Source organism: Homo sapiens, chromosome 1, assembly GCF_000001405.40.
Source record: "Homo sapiens chromosome 1, GRCh38.p14 Primary Assembly".
Lineage (NCBI taxonomy): Eukaryota > Metazoa > Chordata > Mammalia > Primates > Hominidae > Homo > Homo sapiens.
This window is the reverse complement of record NC_000001.11, coordinates 108,054,456-108,076,944: the sequence shown is the minus strand read 5'-3', so window position 1 is coordinate 108,076,944 and position 22,489 is coordinate 108,054,456. Positions and strand designations below refer to the sequence as shown.

At 38.2% G+C, this 22,489-nt stretch overlaps 1 long non-coding RNA gene across 1 annotated transcript; it reads right to left on the bottom strand.

Annotated features, from left to right (window-relative positions):
• Window positions 1-1,553: 1,553 nt before the first annotated feature.
• LINC02785 (long intergenic non-protein coding RNA 2785) lies at window positions 1,554-12,445 on the bottom strand. Its single transcript, XR_001738173.3, has 4 exons — window positions 10,461-12,445; window positions 9,909-10,088; window positions 4,248-5,461; window positions 1,554-2,552 (listed from the first exon to the last, which is right to left on the bottom strand). It is a non-coding gene; the product is annotated as a long intergenic non-protein coding RNA 2785 (long non-coding RNA).
• Window positions 12,446-22,489: the final 10,044 nt, after the last annotated feature.

The following is a 22,489-nucleotide window of genomic DNA, read 5'->3' as shown; positions in this document are numbered from 1 at the left end:
ATGGAGGAAGCTTAAATGCATACAGGTAAGTGAAAGATGCCAGTCTAAAAAGGCTACTTTCTCATTCCAACTGTATGACATTCTGGAAAGGACAAATCCGTATAGACAATAAAAAGATCAGTGGTTTGTCCAGGACTTGGGGTGGGAGAAAGCATGAATACATGAAGTACAGGGATGTTTTAGGGCAGTAAAACTATCTTGTATGATACTGTGACAATATATACATGATATTATGCATTTGTCAAAACCCATATGACTTTACAACATAAAGAATAAGCCTTAATGTATGCAAATTTAATAAATAATTTAGGAGGTCAGGGATCCCAGGAGAAAATGCAGACTGTGGCAAGAGAATCTAATTGTATTATAAATGTATAAAATGCCCTCACTCCCAGCACTTTGAGAGACCTAGGCAGGTGGATCACCTGAGGTCAGGACTTCAAGACCAGCCCGGCCAATGTGATGAAACCCGTGTCTACTAAAACTACAAAAATTAGCTGGGCGTGGTGGCAGCCACCTGCAATCCCAGCTACTTGGGAGGCTGAGGCAGGAGAATTGCTTGAACCCAGGTGGCGAAGGTTGCAGTGAGCTGAGACTGTGCCACTGCACTCCAGCCTGGGAGACAGAGTGAGACTCCATCTCAAAAAACAAATAATAATAATATTTTTATTATAATTATATATATAATATTTTTATTATAATTATATATATCATAATAATATTTCATTCCCTGAAGGGAGAAAAGGCACTGACATAGGTAACTTTGGAAATGAATGGGGTGTATAAGGCTAAAGGCACATTAAGTAGTGTATTTTATTTTAAAAAGTTGTTTCTCATGGAAGTATTAACAATTCTGATACTGCTATACATGTCTGCTGGAATTGAACAATTAATTTTTTGTAAAAGAATTTGCAGATGGTGGGAGCCAGGTTCCTTACTGTTTGAGTGGGAGATGATAGGTAAGTGAGAGAATGATCCATGTGGTAATGGAGTAGAGTTGATGACATCGGTAAGAACTCATGTTTAACTTAAAGTAGATACAGGTGTTTCCAAGCTGTATATTTACACACACAGCTTCTTATATGCACATGTATTTCTTTGCTCTGTGAGCTGACAAGGTGTAAAAGAAATGACATCCAGTAGTAAGGAGCACACCAAGCACTCAAATCTTGGTTTCTTATACTATTCTTCAATAAAAGGCGCCAGGGCTATTTGGAGAAATGGTTGATTCTAGGACTGGGGCAGTGACTACATGAAATGACTGTAGAGCATTTTGTAGTGCCAGAAGGTAAGTAAATACTCAACACACACACACACACACAGACACACACACACACACACACAGATGGGGTACGTCAAAAGTGTACATGAGCTAACTGAAAGAGCTCCCACTGGCCAAAGCTAGCATATTTTGAGAAACAACATAAATAAAGTCACTTTAGAGTATAACCCAAAGTATAAAATAAATATCTATGAGTCCATACTGACATAAAGAAATTATTGAATAAAGCAATAAATTATAGAGAGGAGATAAATCTCCTATGCAGGAAAACTCCAAATTATGTAGATTACATCCTAATGGAGGGGGAGCATAACTCCCCATTCCTTAGGTGTGGGCTGCATATAGTGACTTCCTTCCAATGAATACGTTATGAAAAGGGGAAATGAAAGAGTAACGTTACGACGTAGAAATCTGTCTAATACTACTGAAGCCAAATGCTCAAGGTCAACCACACCCATAAGTCATGTGACAACATGTACCCTTTATAGACTATGATGACAGTGGTTCTTTACCTCTGTGATCCTCCTTCCCCAAACTCATAACTCGAGACTAATACATCAGACAAATTCCAATATAGGGCAATTCTACAAAACACTTGAATATTACAGTACTCCTTAAAACTGTCAAGATCACCAAAAACAAGGGAAGTCTGAGAAATGGTCACAGCCAAGAGCAGCATAAGGAGACATATTAACTAAACACACAATATGGGATCCTGAATTGGATTCTAGAACAGAAAAAAGGCATTAGGTAAAATCTAAGGAAATTGAAGTAAACTATTGCCTTTTGTTAATAATAATATATTAATATCGGTTCCTTAATTGCAACAAAGGTACCATACTAATGTAAGATGTTAATAGGGGAAACTCTATGTGTGTGTGTGGATAACCTTCTGTATTATTGCCTTAATTTTCTGTAAGTCTAAAACTGTTCTAAAAAATAAAGTCTATTAATAAAAACACCAACTTTAAAAATACACATTTCCAGATCCACCACCCAGGTAATTCTGATGATATACATCAAAGCATGAAAACTACTTACCTAAAAAATGCTTCAAAAGCAGGAGAAGGGTTAAATTTCAGACCTGTTACTGGACCAATAATTTTTAAAAATCTATAAAGCAACCACAGCAAATATAACATATTGGTAAAATTTTCTGGAATTCTGTATTTATGATTTTTTTTTTGACATCTGTGTCCTCAGCTGAGTGGGTCAGGTGCAAGAAGCTGTCTGACACTGGAAGGCCAAGTAGACACTGGAAGGCAAAGCCCTGTGGAGAGGAGGTGAGGGAAACGTGTGGGTTCCAAATCTCCTGCGGTTGCCTATTTCTTCCTACAATTTAGGGGTTATACACAGCTAGTGGGATTATTTGTTACTGTATGAGATTTGTTTTAAAAACTGTCATGAACAGTATGTAATAATAAAAATACTCCTGACTTCCAGAAGTCAACAATTTTCATTTTTCTTCACTGGCTATTGATTATTGAATGACAAGATAATAAAAACAAAAGCTATTGGAAGAAATAATTGGCTAAGCATCCTCTCTTCCCTTGGATAAAAGCAACCTATACTTTATTCCTCTGAAGTTTAGTAATGGAAGACGATCATCTAAAACTCATTCTTTAAAAACAACAACAACAACAACAAAACAAGCAAATAGGTAAGCTGTGTTAAAACTGTAGGATAGATAAGCATGGGTCCTTAAGGATGGAAACATCTGACTTATGAATGCCTTATCCATACAAAGGTCAACCTATGCTTATCACCAAATCTAAAAGACAGATGTCCCCAAGACAGGGAGTTCTATCCTCTTGCAAACCACGTGGCCTGTGGCCAATAAGCCTCCACAGCAGTGATTCTCAAAGTGTAGTTCCAGGACTGGCTGCCTTAGCATCACCTGGAAACTTGTTAGAAATGCAAATGCTGGGGTCCCATCTCTACCTTAACCACTTCTGGAACTCTGGAGTGGGGTCCAAAATGTGTGGGATAACATCCCCTCCAGGTAATTCTGATGCACTAGAGAACCACCAATCTAACAGATGGGAGTGAAATCCTCTCTGTATCATGAATTCCCTTCTTTCATATACTCCAGACACTGTCACCAAAGTAACAAAGAGAGTTCTAGAGGATCAGGAAAGAAGGTTATTTTCTCTTTGCCTGGAAACAATTTTTTTCACTCAAAGAATGCTTTATAAATAGAGAATAGATAGGGATCTTAGTAAGGTCCACATAAGTTTCTCTTGTCCACAACATGACTGATAGAGAATCAGATAGGGATCTTAGAAAGGTCCACAGAAGTTTCTCTTATCCACAGCATGACTGAAGTACTCATACCGATCTGATCACCATTTAGAAGGTTTGGGATCTTAGAGTTGTGGCATGTCTGTTTGCCATATCAGTAACGCTATCCCTTCTACAGGTTTGTTTGCAACAAGGGAAGTTTTGTTATAGGTGACAAAAATTCAAAGGTAAAAGGAAATCACATTTCCTCAATTTTAAGATGAGTAGTTGTTAATAAGCTAATATCTCTGAAATAAAGATGCACCTTACAATTTGGTGTACTTTCAGTGTGCTGGGTTTCTCACCAAACCCTCTAAAATGACTTTTAGATGAAAAATGTGTCTTGCACTTGACATCTTAGAACTGAGGAAATGTAGTAGTCAGAACGTCATTGAGCAATGGGCTTGCTGTCTGATGCACATAGAAGCCAATGATATGGCACCAGTTTTTGAGGAAAGAAAAGATTTGTTGTGAGGTCCACCTATAAGAAGACAGGAGGATAACTCAAATCTGTCTCTCTAATCTGGGATTTGCAGCAAGTTTTATCACTTAAGGAGGGTAGATTGGTATGCAGAAGCACTGGCAGGGGAGGTTTTTATTATTGGAGGATCTTTAAGTAACTATTTATGGTAAGGCAAGGGGAAGGGTCTTATCAGTGAACATTCCTAGAAAACGAACTGCTCACTTTTGAAAGTGTTTAGGTGCTTGAGTTCCAGCCACATCCCAATCTTTTAGTTCTGCGGTAGGGACTTTGGTTCTAGGTGTTATTTGAGGTCGAAGTTTTCTTCTGTGCATGCTCTGGCTGTGTTAACTTGCCACTTCTTAACTCTGTGCCTGCAAAATAACTAGACATTCTGTTAGTAACAGAGTTTGGCCAGATAAGACTAGCCCAACAGTTGCAAGAACATGCTCTAGGAGGTAAAGGCAAAAGCCTCTGAATCATTTCCCCCTGTGAATCCGGTGAGGACAGTGAGGAAGCAATTTTACTTTCTCATCAAATTCTAAAGATGATACATTTAATATCTACCCTTCTTTAGTTAAAAGACTTCTGCTTTCAGGAAAGACAAAGTAATAAGGACTGTAGTTAACTCCTGTCTGAAGCAACTAGAAAACCAGACAAAATATGTGAAACAGCAGTTTTCAAAATGTTGAGACATCAGGCAACAAAGAAAAGTGATCACTGAGACATGGAAACAACACAGCTGAGCCCTGGGACTATCCCGGTGGATGTCTAAGTGTCTCTAGGCTGCGACACAGGTGCCCAGGAGGGCACAAAACTGCCTTCTGGAGTGGACAGGAAGGTTCCACGCCATGGTGGTGGTAACATGGTGATTTGGAGTTATAATGTGTTTTTGTTCATTTGGAATATATTTAAAATAATTAGGCAACTTGATTTTTAAATGTATGATATAGAATATCAAGGTATTGATCAGGATTAGATGTATTTAAGTATTGCCATTTTTAGGAAAGTGGTGTTCTATCAATGACTTAATCATTCTAGGTTTTTGCCCAGCTGCAGATGGCTTGAGAGAACTGCCTGGTTACAGCTGATGGTGAGTTACAGTCAGTGTGAGTGTGCGTGGGCATGCACACTCAGTAAGCAGGCAGCAGCTGTTTGGTTAGAGAACGAAACTGGCCAATTGGAAACTATGGTATTATTTCTTTATGCAGACCTTACTCAGAACCTCCTGGCTTCTGCAAGATTGGTCTGTGTTGTGAGTGAAGAGGTATGGACAAGATTCTACCTTATGGAAATGAGGCTCTTTGACTTGGTCTCTCCAGTTGGACTGAGCCACACATGGTTTTGAATATGCTCTTGACCTCACCATGAAAGATGTTGGAGAAATGTGGAATGAAGCTGCTACTCAATTGCATCTGCAGCATATCAGGGAGTGGTCACTGTAGAGGGTAGAAGAAAGCATGTGTTAAATTGGGAGTCAGTAGACCCGGATACCAACAATGATCATCACTAGCCTGCAACTAACTAAAAGCTGAGTGATCTTGGGCAAATTAATGACCTGAGACCTGGACCCCAGTCCAAACCTGGTACATCAGAATTCCTTGTTTTGGTACTTGAGTATCAGTAATTATTTAAAAGCATCTAGGTGATTTTAATGTGCATCCCGGAATAGTATCCACTCACTAATAACTGATCTAAAAGCTCCCTTCCAGACCTTGAAATACAAATTGAAGTCTAAATTTTGGCAGATGACAGATCATTGGCTGCCCCAGCTCCTTTCTCTTCCAATGCTTTATTTTTTCCTAATTTCTTTTCTAATCATTATCATTTACTCCCACATTTGCAGACGTTTGTAACCTTAAACCCAAAATGTGGAATGATACATCCATCTGAGGTCAGCACTTTCTACCTCCCAGGACTAGCTGGAACAATATATCAGTGTCTTATCGCTCTTTTCTTATTATTTTAATTAACTTCCTGCTATTTAAAAATTGGGCTGGCAGTGTACCCTCTCTAGGCTCAGTTGCTCATTTCTAACAGCTGGTTATCATCCTAATTAGAATGAGTGTTGGCCTTTTCAGCCCCATAATTTAGGGTGCAGCGGCTGCCAAGTTGAGGTCAGTTTTGTTTATGGGATCTGAAACTTGCCAGAGTAACTTTGATGGCTAAAACCTTGTATAGTTTCCTAAGCCTACTTCTACATTCTTTTTTTTTCTCAGTACTTAGGGGATTGGCTGTAACCAGGTGTATTAAAAGCTTAAAAATTCAGCCAGGTGTGGTGGCTCACGCCTATAATCCCAGCTCTTTGGGAGGCTGAGGCAGGTGGACTACCTGAGGTCAGGAGTTCGAGACCAGCCTGGCCAACATGGTGCAACCCCATGACTACTAAAAATACAAAAAATTAGCCAGGTGTGGTGGTGGGCACCTGTAATCCCAGCTACTCAGGAGGCTGAGGCAGAAGAATCACTTGAACCTGGGAGGCAGAGGTTTCAGTGAGCCAAGATCGCACCACTGCACTCTGCCTGGGCAACAAGAGTGAAACTCAGTCTCAAAAAAAAAAAGCTTAAAAATTCCTCAAAATAAATTACTGAAAGCATGAAAACACGATAACAAATATCCCACGGCAATGTTATTATTACTATTTCATAACATCCAGGGTATAGAATCATAGGCTCTTAGGAGGGGATTTATATGGTCATCTACTTTTTGCCACCTAAAATTCCTTCTATAATATCACCGATGAGCATGTACCTGTCTTCCAAACAATTCTAGTGACTATAATTTGTGACTATGTTCACTCATTAATGATTTGTTTCTCCTAAGCATTTATTTAAATTTCGATATTTCAGATATTTATGCTAAATTCAAGGATTACACCAGTTTAGGAAAAGAAACCAGGATTTATGTTCCTGCAATTATTGGGGGAAGCAGACAAGATAACAACTATAACAATACAATGAGACAAGTGCTCTTATAGATTTTTCTGGGAGCTTCCAAGCTGGGAAATAATTAATTTGCTTGGGGCTGATGGTGGGAGTGAGAGGGAGAAATTTCAGGAAAGTTTCACAGAAAAAACTTAAAGCATGCATACATTTTCAGGCAGAATATAGAGTGGAAAGAGGGTAACCTCTCACAATTACAACCCCACTTTTATCCTTGGTATTCATCTAATTACTTCTCTTTCTGTCTCCCTAAGACAAAGAACAGTATACATCTTCGTTACTCAAAGTTATGGTTTGTGGATCAGCAGCCTTGACATCATCTGGGAGGTTGAAAGAAATGTAGAATCTCAGATCCCATTTCAGATCTACTGAGGCAGTAGGTGCATTTGAATAAGATCCTCGGGTAATTTATATGTACATTAAAGTTTGAGACACACCAAGCTATGGCTTGTGCCTCTATTTGCTTTCTTCCCATTCAGTCTTTTAAAAATTTTTCCTATTTTATATTTAACTAGTACATACATATGGTTTAATAGTCAATTCTGCAAGGCTCATAACAAAAAATGGCAGGCCCCTTTTTAACTCCTCCCCATCCCTACTAACAAATTCCTAGAATCAATCAACTTTTACATCTTTAACTATTTCTTCTAGTATTTACCTCCAATTCTGAAATAAAAATAATTATATTACTCTTTATATGTTTATCCATTTTAAAACTAACCTGTACTTTTCACAGCAGGTGAGAACTTAACTTTCTTATACTACCACTTTGACTTATCTATCCCCTGTTTCCAACATAATTATAATTTTGATTAAACTAATATTTAGTGTTTTAGTGTTATGACTATAAACCTTAGTCATTAAACCAAGTAGAGTACCCTTTTGTGTTTTTCCTGTAGTTATTGCCTTCCTTTTTTGTTTAGATTTTTTATGTACCTGTCTTTTTTTGTTTGTTTGTTTGTTTGTTTTGTTCTGTTTTTGTATTTTTTTGAGATGGAGTCTCGCTCTGTCACCTAGGCTGGAGTGTATGCAGTGGCACGATCTTGGTTGACTGCAACCTCTGCCTACCGGGTTCAAGTGATTCTCCTGCCTCAGCTTCCCGAGTAGCTGGGACTACAGGCATGCACCACCATGCCCAGCTAATTATTTTGTATTTTTTGATAGAGATGGTATTTCGCCACGTTGGCGAGGCTGATCTTGAATTCCTGACCTCAAGTGATCCACCTCTGTTGGCCCCCCAAGGTGCTGGGATTACAGGCATAAGCCATTGCACCAAGCTGTACTTGTCTTATATCTAATTCTTTCTTATCTTTCCAAAAGAACTATAAAATTCCTGTCAACATAGTCATACTATGTTATCAGTTTCATTTGTTTTCCTTAAAGTCTTCTCTTAAATTTCCTCATCCCTCTGTTCTAATTTGGGTTGGCTGCTATATAGGCAAGTAATATAGCTGTTATCCTAGGACTTTCTAATGTCATCATCCAGGAAAGTTCTTTTGTCTCTCTTCTGTCTTGAATTCTGAGTTTCTAGGATCTCATGATGTCTTCCTTTTTGGTTTAATCTTTCATTTTGTGGAGGATATCCTCCAATGACTTCCAGAGAAAGTGTGTGCCAGGTATCTGTCTACCGGTATTCAGTAGCTTTCTTGGTATTTCCTGTATGATAGAGGCTGGAAGCTTGGAAACTACATTTCCCAGAATTCCTTGCTATCAATGTTCTTGTTTAGAGTAGGTCAATGAAAGATGTTCATATGATACTTAAAAGTAGGAAGCGAGGTATGTTTAATTCTTCTATCAGAAGTAGTGACATGCAAAAGCATGGGCTTTTGCAGTGGCTGTCTTGTGTTTCAATATGCATTACTAGCAGCTGTAGCTTTACCAACAGATTTATGTGGTTTCCTGATTATTGTGTAGCATCCTCCTACCCCTCTAGCCATTTCAGCAGTATGAGGTCAGTATAGTAGATTATTTCCTGCTTGGAGTATCTATAATAGATTTTTTTTTCTAATTGAACACTTACCAAGAATGGCTTCAAGAAAAAGATCTTCAAAAATATGAATTTGGCTTAGTTATTGGATACCTCCAATAACTAAGATTTGAAGCAGTGATGATCTCTGAGATATCAGTAGTTCATGGCAAAAGAGTTACATAAATTATTACCTATACTTGCATGGAATTAAGTGCCTAATATTAAAGATATAGTTTTGGGAGACAAAGATGCTGTTGCAGTATTTGCATACTGTTGGAGTGAAGACTACAGAGACTGCGTGGTGGGCTGGATATTTCTGAGTACACTGGAGAGATTACAGAAATGACCTCAGGGTTTAAAAATGTTTGCTTAGACATTATCAGAAAACCAGAGAGCTTCTGTTGTGACTGCCTCAAAATAATATCTTATCTTTTAGAGTTATAGGACATATTAATTAATATGTGACATATTAAGAAAGAAGAGTATGTTGTGGACTGAATTATGTCCCCCTATCCATTCATGTTTTGAAGACTTAATCCCCAATGTGACTATTTGGAGATAGGGTCATTAAACAGGTAATTAATGTCAAGTGAGGTCCCAAGGACGAGGCCTTAATTCACTATTACTGGTGTCCTTCTAAGTAAAAGAAGAGACACTGGGGATGCACATGTAGAGAGGAAACACTGGGTGAGGATTCAATGAGAAGATAGCTGTCTGCATGCCAAAGACAGAGGTCTCAGGGTAGAGAGGAAAGGCTGGGTGAGGATTCAATGAGAAGATGGCTGTCTGCAAGCCAAAGACCGAGGTCTCAGGAGAAACTGACCCTATCTTGATCTTGAACTTCCAGCCTCTAGAACTGTGGGAAAATAAATTTCTGCTGTTCTAGCCAACCAGTCTGTGGTATTTTATTATGGCAGTCTTAGCAAACTAATACACACTCTTACTCATCTCATCAAAGATATCAAAGGATACTACCTTTATCAAAACATAGGGGAAAACATTAGTCAGAGGAACTCCATCTTTCTTGGAAAGCCCTCTTGTGTCTGTCCTTCAAAGCTGAGGATGATGACTGAAGATGCTACTGTAGAAATAGGCTCCTTGATTTCAGTGAGGATGAAGGATTTCAGAGTGATAGACGGTAAGTGGCAGCAGATACTGACAAGACAAGGTGGGGTGGGATTGATTAGTGATAGTTAGAAAAGTTTACCCCACACATATTTTTGATTATGGCTAATTGATCAGAGTGTCCTTAAGACTGAAATAGATGGGCAATTTTATATTTATGTAATACAATTTTACTTTATATATAAAATAGAAAAAGTTCTAAGTCATGAGTACAGGCTTAATTTTAATCACAATGGAGAGTTAATACTGTTCACACCATTTCCAGACCTCAGCCACTTCTCAAATCTGGAACCCTAGAATGGGAAGGAAAGCCTATCTCCTGGAGGAAGAATCTTCTGACATTGCTACAAGTACATGTTTTAAATATTCTACAGAGGAATTCCAAGATTTTTCTGGACTTACTGTATACTGCCTCTGAGATGACATTACTCCATAGGTCTCCAACATGTCGCTGTGGTCCCGCAGTCAGGGTGGAAGTCCATGCAGGTCAGACAATGCAGTAGATCCTATTACTATTTGTTGAATACTCCATTTTCTTTCTTTGCAGTGCCTTCAAGATGGCAGGATTCTATGATGCCATTTTGAACTCAGGAGTGTATGTGTGATTTGCTTTGGCTGATAACATGTGGGCATGTGTCATATGTCACTCCTGGACAAAAGCTTTAAGACACAGTATGTTTTCCCATGTTTCTTTTTCTTTTCCCACAAGATTAGCAATGCTCCAGATAGCAGCTACTAGCCTAGACCCTGGAGCAAAGAAGTGTAGGATAGAGCCATATCCAGCCCATGATGGACATGTAATATGGACAAGAAATTATCTTCTGTTTTTATAAGTCACTGATATTTGGAGTTATTTGTTTTTCTACATAACATAGATGATTTTGACTAATGCAGGTGTCAATTGCCCCAAGCCTCTATCATGGTGGGTCCAATAGGTTCACAGATCTAACTAGTGGTTTTTCCCCAGGACCTGAATGGAAAGTTAGAATAGGCATACTAAGCAACTAGCAAAATATTCACTCTGACTTGTAGTTTAAGATTTATTATAGTAGAAAGGACAAATTTATAAACCAAAGCAATACTGAATCCTCAAGAGAATAGCAGAGATTAAGGTTGCCATTAACGATGTGCAAGATGCATGGCTGGTGATTCCTATTCTTCATTTATTGTCTGTTTGGCCTGTGCAAGAAGACAGATGGATCTTGGATAATGACAGTAGGGTATCCAAAATGTAATCCGATAGTGACTCTAATTGCATCGATTGTTCCTAAAGTCTTATCTTTGCTAGAATCAATTAGTATAGCCCCTCACATCTGCTAGTGATCTGGAAAATGCTTCGTTTCTCCAAACCGAATAGCAGAGACTAGTAGAGCAGTTGGCTTTTACCTGGCAGGGACAGTAATGCATCACTCTGTCTTTTTTGCTGATTGCTTCCCCAGATCCAATGCTGCATTCTCTACCTTCCAATCTTGAGTCTGGACCTCTCTTGGTTCTCTAAAGAAGAATGACTCTGCCTCTACTTCTGCTGCCTCTGGTATTCCACTTCTGGGAATTTTCTTTGTTCATCTATTGTTTCCTAACTCTGGCTATATGTTAATATGATTAGACTCACTTTGTCAGAAACTCTATCAAAAACATCTGTCTGATGCCACATTGTTTTACTTCATCACATCTATAAATTTATTCTTTTTGGGGTCATGTGGTAGAGAATTTTGTTCACCAGAAGTTCTCCAAAAAGATTTGAAAATTTGTTAGAGTGAGAAAATTATACTTCCTAGGAAGCTCCACACATTTTCTTCTTGAGGAGAAAAGTGAAGAAACATTGTATTTTCCAGAATTCTGAAGCTATCTGATGCAGCTCACGGAGAAGAATAAAAGTTTCTATTTGTAACTGTTGCTACTTGTAAGTGTATAGTAGGGAGATATTATAGTAGTATGTGGGGAATGGAGGAAGGATAAGAATATGAGGGGTAAGTATCTGGGAGATTTGGGACACACAAACACACACACACACAGAGTACTGCTGCTACAGGGGAGAAGATATAGAAGAAGATGGAAAGAGGTTATTGCAGGTATTTGCTGTGACCTAAGAATGCACTTCTTACTATATGGTTGGGATTTTTTTTTCATTAAGGAAGACACCATGTTAAAGCTATAATTTGGGGCACAGATGTTTATTTGGGTTATATTTGTATATCTTTATTCTATATCAATGGTATCTGATGGAGAGGAAATCAAACATGTGCCCATTCTGCTCTCTTGAACTATTTTACTTTGAGGACCACTCTCCTTTATTATAATATTTAACATGCTTATCTTAATTTAAAAAATTGAACATCATTCTTTATAATGAATCTGGAAGCAAAAATGGATATGTCTTCTATCATCTATTGAGATTATACCATATTAATCTCATATAGCGTATCAATATATGATCAATAATCAATATGCTATATCATATATATCAATCATACTTAATTAATTAAATATTAGTTGCCCTTAAAGTTTGTTAATTACCTATGGAAGTTTTTTACTTTCTGACACAATTTTTACAGATACAAAATTAAGGAAAAAAGCTATTTCTACCCTCACAAAGTCTATACTTATAGGTGGTTATTCCTGGTTTTATGCCTATCCTTTTAAAAAAATGTATAGTTTTGAGTCTGAGCTAATCAGACAACTTCTGTGAAATCTTTTATTTCTTTAAATGCTACTCCACTTTTCTTCCAAAAAGGATGGGATTGTGACAATTTACCTAGAATTTCATACTTGTAAAATATCTGAACCCACATGTGCCAAATTCCTTTTCAAGATCTCCAGTCATATCTATCTTTTCTCTAAAATAAAGTGTCCTGTTGTCTAAAGCCTATGGTACATGTCCAACAGTTTGCAGCTATCCTTTCTTTCACTATTACAGGCTCCAAAATGACATCGTCACTTCCTGTCACATTCAATCACCAACCACATTTCCCTTATTTCTTGGAATTAGGTATGGAGTATCAGTTCCCTTTGTGGCTTCCTGTGCATCCCAAGAGATGATATTACCAGCAGGGCAAGTAAAGAATGAGTCTGATACTTGGTTTTCAGTAGAAAAGGACTTTTAGAAACTGTTGATGTCATTAGGGTTCATTAGTACAGTTGAACTCTGCCATGGATTTTTTTCTTTTCTTTTTAACTCATATTTTAGGTTTAGGGGTACATGTACAGGTTTGTTATATAGGTAAATTGTGTGTCAGGGGTTTGGTGTATGGATTATTTTCTGACCCAGGTAATAAGCATAGTACCCAATAGGTAGTTTTTTGATCTTCTCCCTCAAGTAGGCTCCATGTTGTATCTGTTGTTCCCTTCTTTGTGTCCATGTGTTCTTAATGTTTAGCTCCCACTTATAAGTGAGAACATGTGGTATTTGGTTTTCTGTTCATGCATTAGTTTGCTTAGGATAATGGCCTCCAGCTCCATCCATGTTGCTGCAAAGGATAGGATCTTGTTCTTTTTTATGGCTGCATAGCATTCCAATGTGTGTATGTATCACATTTTCCTTATCCAGTCTACTATTAATGAAAATTTAGGTTGATTCCATGTCTTTGCTATCGCGAATAGTGCTGTGATCAATATACATGTGCCTGTGTCTTTACGGTAGAATGATTTCTATTCCTTTGGGTAGATACCCAGTAATGGACTTACTGGGTCAAATGGTAATTCTGTTTTACGTTTTTTTAAGAATTCACCACACTGCTTTCCACAATGGCTGAAATAATGTACACACCCACCAGCAGTGTATAGCATTCTCTTTTCTCTGCAACCTTGCCAGCATCTGTCACTTTTTGACTTTTTAATAATAGCCACTTTGACTGGTGTAAGATGGTGTCTCATTGTGGTTTTGATTTGCATTTCTCTAGTGATTAGTGCTGTTGAGCACTGTTTCATATGATTGTTGGCTGTGTTTATGTCTTCTTTAGAAAAGTGTCTGTTCATGTCCTTTGCCCACTTTTTAATGAGGTTGTTTTTTGCTTGCTGATTTGTTTAAGTTCCTTATAGATTCTAGATATTAGACCTTTGTTGGATGCATAGTTTGCAAATATTTTCTCCCATTCTGTAGGTTGTCTGTTTACTCTGTTGGTATATTCTTTTGCTGTGCAGAAGCTCTTTAGTTTAATTAGGTCTCACTTGTCAATTTTTGTTTTTGTCGCAATTGCTTTTGGCCTCTTTGTCATGAAATCTTTGCTAGGGCTGTGTCCAGAATGGTATTTCCTAGGTTATCTGCCATGGTTTTTATAGTTTAAGGTTTTATATTTAAATCTTTAATCCATCTTGAATTGATTTTTATGTATGGTGTAAGGAAGGGGTTCATCTTCTGCATATTCCATTAATTTTTAATCTCTGTTAGGAAAGCAATGACTTTCACGTAGCTTGGTGTTCTATGAAGCTGCCCACGGACATTTCATTTGTATCCTTTTTGTTTTTATCCCCACCTAAATATTTCCTAATTTGTGTGTATTATCAGAATCATGGATTCCCAGATGAGGTTTCACCAGTTTACCCTAGAGTGTTGCCATTTCTCTGCCTCTTTGCTTTTTATTAATAAGATATATCCGTTCAATACTGGGTTATGCATTTCATCTCTCTAAGCTCAAGAGCCTCTCTAGTCTCTAAAATCTGTTAATATATTTCACATATCTCATTTCTCCCATGAAGACTCCTTTATTTAATATATATTTATCTCTTTTCTAACCTCTACAACACCCTCACTTATAATACACTTTATGTTTTCTAACCCTGCTGTAACAAATTACCAAAAATTTAGTGGCTTAAAACAACAGAAATTTATTGTTTTACAGCTGTAGAACTCAAAAGTCTGAAATGGGTCGGGAGGGCTATGCCTCTTATGGAGGCTCCTGGAAATAATCCATTCCTTTGCTCTTTCTAGTTTCCAGAGGCTGCCCACATCCTTTGGCTTGTGGCCCCATATCATTTCAACCTCTGCTTCTATTGTCACATCTTTTCTAACTCCGATTCTCCTGCCTCCCTCTTTTAAGTACCCTGTGAGTACAGTAATCCCACTCAAATAATTTAGAGTAATCTTCCCATCTCAAGATCTGTAACTTAATCATATCTATAAAGTCCCTTTGGCCATGGAAAGTAACAGGTTCTGGGGATTAAGATGTGGACATCGTCGGGGAACCATTATTCTGCTTACCAGAAATACTCTATACACATGTATCTATAATACATTTTAATCCATAACTGTATTTAATTTAGCTCCATTCTTTATATAATTTATAATTATTTTGGGTATGGAAGTGCCATTTTTCCTTATCAAGTATCAATCCCCTGGGGGCATATATCTGTCAGACAGCTGGGTGCATATTTACCTATTGGTTTTAGAATTTCATTCTCTTCATTGACAAATATTGTATATTTCTTTGATGTAAACACAAACACCAACACATCTTTATGTTTAATTGACTACAACAAGAATTTATTCACTCCCTTTGTTTCTCAGGTGTCTTAGTTCTCATCTTGTGATAAAAATATATAAAATCTTATAAGCCTAAGATAAAAGGCAGTCTTTATCTTTTAATCATGTTTTAGGAAAAGTCTTAATAATATTTGGTCCTTTTTGGCAACAGCTAATGGGATATTTGAATTCTGTAGCCTTTCTACATTTTGTTTTTAAACGTCTCTTGTTTGATTAACTAATTTTAGACTTTTTATTGTAAAAAACTTTCAACATATAGAAAAGTAGAAAAAATATTTAGTGAACATCCACTTATTCACAACCTAGATTAAGCAATGTATGCATATCTACATGATCTTTTTGCCAACGTATTTTAAAGTAAATTACAATTAAATAATTTTTATTCAATGCCATAAAGAAGTGAGAATTTATGTAAATTTCCTATGTTTCTTGAGACTTGTCAAGTGATGGCTTGGGTAGGAGGACACCTCAGTATATTATAAGTTTTCTCTTTTTGTAGAAGACTCTCTGGCCTTCTTTTCACCTACTAAAACAGCTGTAAACAATTTTTTTTCTTTTTTTTTTTTTTGAGATGGAGTCTTGCTCTGTCGCCCAGGCTGGAGTGCAGTGGCGCAGTGGCGCAATCTCGGCTCACTGCAAGCTCCGCCTCCTGGGTTCACGCCATTCTCCTGCCTCAGCCTCCCGAGTAGCTGCGACTACAGGTGCCCACCACCACACTCAGCTAATTTTTTGTATTTTTAGTAGAGATGGGGTTTCACCATGTTAGCCAGGATGGTCTCGATCTCCTGACCTTGTGATCTGCCTGCCTCGGCCTCCCAAAGTGCTGGGATTACAGGCGTGAGCCACCCGCCTGGCCTGTAAACAATTTTTTTTCTTTTTTAAACACATGACTGACTTTGACTAAATTTTATTTTAATAACTATGCCTTTAATATTCCTCTTAATTTTTAAACTAGTTTCCTGGAAAAAAAAAGTCACCTAATTCCATTTTATTTGGGGTCAAATCTCCTTTCAACTCACTACAACAATGCTTCATGCTAGAAGACTAAAGGGATAATTGCTTTGGTCTTGATGTTTTCTATGCTGTCACTTTTGTACCACATTTATACAAGTTTTTGGTTGCTTTATTTCTTTCCCAGAAAAGAGAACTTGAATATAATTTAACATCTACTTATGCAATTACTTTGCTCTTGTTTCTGCTAAGGGAATCGTGGGTGTTCCTCACAACTATCTCCAAGAACTTTTGGCATTATTAGAACTACTCAAAGCCAACCGTATGGATGATGAAAGTATCATTTTCTAAGTAATGAAAGCCTACTCTACTTTTACTCTATTTTTTGCTCTACTTTCTCCTTTCATAATAGCAACAAATCATCTCCCAAACTTATGTATCTTTCACTTGAAAATTTAAATTCAGCAAAAATCTCTAAGAGTTACTTTGGCTGGTAGTATGTCAAATTGTTGCTGTTACCAAAGATTTAGGTTTTCTGAATGAGCAAAGCATATTGCTTATGAAAATATCTGGGAGATAGAACTTGGCTAAAATTCTCTCTCTCTCTTTCTGTTTTTTGTCTGAAGAGCCTTGAATAATTTCAGAGGAACATTTCCTCTAAGAAAGGAATGTTTTACATTTGGGATGGTAGACAAAATGCCTTGTGAAAAGAGTTCAAACTACAGGGTTGTCAGAAGAATCTTATTGTTCTGACTCCAGTTCCTTGACACCAGCTGGATGTCCTGCAATTCAATTCCATTCTGACACCAACTACCCAGAATTAGTGTGACTCCACAATTTAAAGGTTCAGTCCCACAAAACTGCCCTTACTTCAGATGCCAGCCAGAAGCCCCGGGAGCCATCCCTATTTCTGACAACCAGCTATATATTTGAAGGGTCCCACAATCCTCCCAAGTTTGATAATTTGCTAGAACAACACACTCAACTGACTAGAAGCATTATACTTACGATTTTATTATGAAGCATACAGATCAGGAACGACAACTAAGAGATGCACAGGGCAAGGTCTTGAGTGGGGGCCAACGCTAAGTTTCTATGTCCTCCCCTCATGAAATCCTGGTGTATCATCCCCCGGCTCATCAACGTGTTCACCAACCAGGAAACCCCTCCAAGCTTGGGTCCAGGGTTTTCACTGGGGATTCATTACTTAGATGTCCTTGATTAAATCACTGGCCATGTGATTGAACTTAATTTCTAGCACATCTACTTTTCCTGGAGGTCCAGTGGGCCCAAAGTCCCAATCCTCTAATCACATGATTGGTCTCTCTGGTGACCAGCCCCCATCCTGAAGCTATCTAGGTGCCTACCAAGAGTCCCCTCATCATCATAACAGACACTCCTGCTACTCAGTATATTGGTTTGCTAGGGCTGCCATAACAAACTACCACTGACTGGATTTCTTCACTAATAGAAATTTATTTTCTCACAATTCTGGAAGCTAGATGTCAGAGAACAAGAGGGTATGGGAAAGGTTGGTTTCTTCTGAGGCCTCTCTCCTTGGCTTCAGATGTCTCTTTTCTCCCTGTGGTTTTACTTGGTCTTCCCTCTGCGTATGTCTGTGTCCTAATTTCCAGTAGGACATCAGTCCTATTGGATTTGGGGCCCACTCTAATGACCTCATTTACTTCATTAACCTCTGGAAAGACCCTGTCTACAAATACAGTCACATTCTCAGGTACTGGTTAGGACTTCAACACATGAATTTTGTGGGGTGGGGCGGGGACATAACACTGGGGAAATGCTAAGGGTTTGCAAAGCTCTGTACCAGAAACCAGGGACAAAGGCAGGATATCAGCTTCATTATTCCACAGTATTCTTCACACATTCCATTTGCACATCTCCTTCTGAGAAACACCCTTACAATTTGGCCAGTAATGATGTGCTTGAGATGAATGCAAACCAAGTGGTTGTGTTTTGCTGCCTAGGGAGAGGTGGGGCAGACCACCTCTCTGGAGGTGACACGTTGCCTGCTCCTGTAACTCATATTCTGAAGCCCCTGAGAAGCATCACATCTAATTCCATGAACAGGACCATACTGAGAGGCTGCTGAAGCAGGGACTCTTTTGTTTTGGGATCCTCTTTCTGCTGTTCATTTCTCTACTTCTCAGCATTTACACATCCTTTCTCCCAACCCAGACTTTCTCCTCTCCCCACTATTTAAACAAAGGTTTAGGAATAATCTTGTTCGTATTTAATCTGAGCATGCATTTAAATCAACATGTTACCTCTCCCTAAGATATTTGTATTAAAATCTTATTTTCTTACTCCTTGTATGCTTGAAATTACTCCCAGGTGAACCTCTTGTGCGTAAGGTTTGTGCTCCCTACAAGGGAAGTAATAGATAATACTAGGATTTTATTTTCTCCCATCAGAAGTTATTTTGAATCTGAACCTATCAACTGTAGGATCAAAAAACTCCTTAAATTCATTTCAGCTTTTCAGTATATCCATACCTTGTCAAAGTACAAATGCCATTCTTTTGATAGAAAATACGTCCATGTTGTTTGTTACAAACTCTGAAAACCTTAGTTAGGTCTTGCTTTCTCTTCAGCTGTTGACACTTTTGATTCCTGAGGGCAGACAGCTTGTTGGGAAACAGCAGAGAGGAGGAGGCAGGAAATGGGGTTGGGGGTGGGGCTGTTCTCTTATTAGTTTCCCAGGGTGAGACAGGCAGCTGAGCTTGACTTAAAGAGTGTCACGGGATCATTTCCTTTTAGAACTGGGAGAGGAGAAGGGCACACACACTCCCCAGTGCATGGGGTCTAAGTAGTAAAATAAAAGTAGGAATACAACATTCTAATATGGCTAATAAACATATACTTACGTGTCTATAAGATCCTAGAGGGAAAGGGGTAAACTAGTTCTAATATGGCTAATAAACATATATTTACATGTTTCTAATATGGCTAATAAACATATACTTACATGTTTATAAGATCCTAGAGGGAAAGGGGTAAACTAGGCCTAAATGCAAATTTAGTTTATTCATTCTGGCTTAATTATTTGAAGGAATAATTTTATCTTGATGCTAATTCAGAAACGTGGCAGCCCATGGTCTCTTTCATATAACATCTTGAGAACGCAGAGAAAGAAGCCAGATTATTTTTCTTTTGCATGAGTTCATTTTTTTCCACCTAATTCAACAAACATTTATAAAGAAAATTCTGCATGCCAAGCACCTGGTAAAAGTAAGCTGTCTTGTTTAAAGTAGATGGTCTAGAAGTTATTGAAGAAATTCTCTCTCATCATAAAAAGTGAGCGTTTTATTAGTTTTAAGGATCTCAGTAATTATCCAGAGGAGATAAGTCATGTACTTCTGTCCTTATCTATAAAATCAAATGTTTTATCTAGATGATCTTCAACTTTTTTCCAATTCTAAAATTCTAGGATTCTGTGGTCTCTGCCATGATTTCTATACCCCAGAGAATGAAGTTCAAATACAACTGATGCTTATAGGGTGGAATTCTTTCCCAACTGAAAAACTCATAAAACAAGTGAACCTGATTTTTCAGTATTGCACTGAGTTGTAAGATGCTGGTCTTAGGCAGCATCTTAAATCAGGCGGTAGCTGGTCATAGTTACTGTTTCTTAATATAGATGTCAAGACTTTTGGTCATTTCTGCAAGATCATGGAGGGGGCTAGTCTTAGGATGGCTTTCTTCCCCAAACAACTCTTAATGTCTGCCATGAGACCAGAATTGCCATAATTAGAAAGGTATTCCTGTTGCTGAAAGCATGCCCTCTATACAGCCCATATCAAGATATGAGTAACAGACTAGAAGTTTCTGGGTTTTTCCATTGAATCAGTGAGGATGCTTTTGGCTGTAAATATCAGAATATCCAACTAAAAGTGACTTAACCAATAAAGCATTTATTTTCTCCCATAGTGCCAGAATTGGTTAATTGGACTACAGGTCAACTTCTTTCATATTTCTTGATTTTCCCTTCATGGGCACAAAAGGGAAATCTGCTACAAGCATTGCGTCCTCCCATGATCATGTCCAAAGAAAGAAAGGACAGTTTGTCCCCATGCAGCTCTTTTTTTTAACTTTTATTTTAAGTTCAGGGGTACAAGTGCAGGTTTGTTACATAGGTAAACTTGTGTCATGGGGGATCGTTGTACAGATTATTTCATCCCCTAAGTATTAAACCTAGTACCCATTACTTGTTTTTCTTGATCTTCTCCCTCTTCCCACCCTCTACCCTCCAAAAGGCCTCCATGTGTGTTGTTCCCCTCTATGTGTCCATGTGTTCACCTAATTTAGCTCCCACTTATAAGTGAGAACATGTGGTATTTGGTTTTCTGTTCCTGCATTAGTTTGCTAAGGATGATGGCCTCCAGCTCCATCCATATTGCTGCAAAAGACATGATCTCATTCTTTTTTACGGCTGTATAGCATTCCATGGTGTATATTTACCACATTTTCTTTATCCAGTCTATCACTGATGGGCATTTAGGTTGATTCCATATCTTTGCTATTGTGAATAGTGCTGCAATGAATATTCATGTGCATGTGTCTTTATGGTAGAATGATTTATATTCCTTTGGGTATATACCCAGTACTGGGATTGCTGGGTCAAATGTTATTTCTGTCTTTAGGTCTTTGAGGAATTGCTATACTGTCTTCCACAATGGCTGAACTAATTTACACTCCCACCAACAGTGCATAAACATTCCTTCTTCTCCATTACCAGCTCCTGATTTTTTTTTTATTTTTTCCATAATAGCCATTCTGACTGGCATGCAACTCTTTTTATTAGAAAGGAAACCTTTCCTTGAAGCCTCCAGCAGACTTCCTCTAATTGACTAGTAAGTACTATGTCAGATTCCTGAGCCCAAGGCTGAAGGGGCATTCTGTTAGCCACGGAGGGAGTGGAGGGAATACATCGAGGAGGCAGTCAATCATCTTTGCCTCATCTGTTGTGGCCAATATCTTGAGAGCAGATCTAATTGGAAGTGAGGGTTTGCAAGGTATTTTGTCCATATGTATAGATGTATGGGGTTCCCCCTTCTTCACACTTTTAACCCACTACCCTTAATTTTCAGGGGTCCTGGGTAGCCACTGGTAAAGCTGAGGTTAAGCCTGTGGATGGTGTGATGTAAAAGCAAGGGACCGGGATTCATATGGAGGGAACTGGACTGGGGAGGCCAGGTGGATGTTGGTAGCGAGGCTGAGGCTAATGCCAAGAAAGGCTGCAAGCCAAGCGGCATCGGTGAGTGGGAGTTCTGTGGCCCTCCATTCTCTGATAGACAGTCCATGTGACTCTTGCTGAGCATCAAGGACATTTTTAATAGCTTCCTGTGAAAGCCTGGACCAGATTGCAGCTCCACTGACATATAACACATCTATAGAATATTTCATCTCAGATAATTAACCAGAAAGTATGTAATTATCTTAATTCTCTGATCTATCGCCCTGGGTGGATGATCCAGATACAAATAATGGTCTTTTGACTTCTGATGTTGAACTTGCTCTCTTGGGATTAGAGATCAGCAGAATGGGTGCCATTCTATTTAAAAACCTATTTTAGTATTACTATAACAGGTAATTAACTTGCTCATATAATTTGGTCAAGTTCAGTCAAGTTTTTGACTTAAAGTTATTGTACAGGTTAGTATAAGAGTGCTTTAATGAGAACACAAACATTCCAGAATGAAAGGTTGGAAGGATTAAATGCAATATGCAAGAGAGGCTGCTTAGCGTATTTCCTGCCGCATAGTGGGACTCAAGAAGTGTTAGTTTCCTTCTCCTAGTTGGATTTCTTTCCTAATTACTATTTCCCCAAAATAAAGCAACATTGTTTCCCCTTCTATTTTGGAGCTTCCCTTACTCCCACCTCAAAAGAGCAGGAAACATATACCCAATATTCTAAGACAAGGTAATATAAAGTGGAAATATAGAGGGATGGAAATGGTTCTTTTATCATGCACTGAACACAT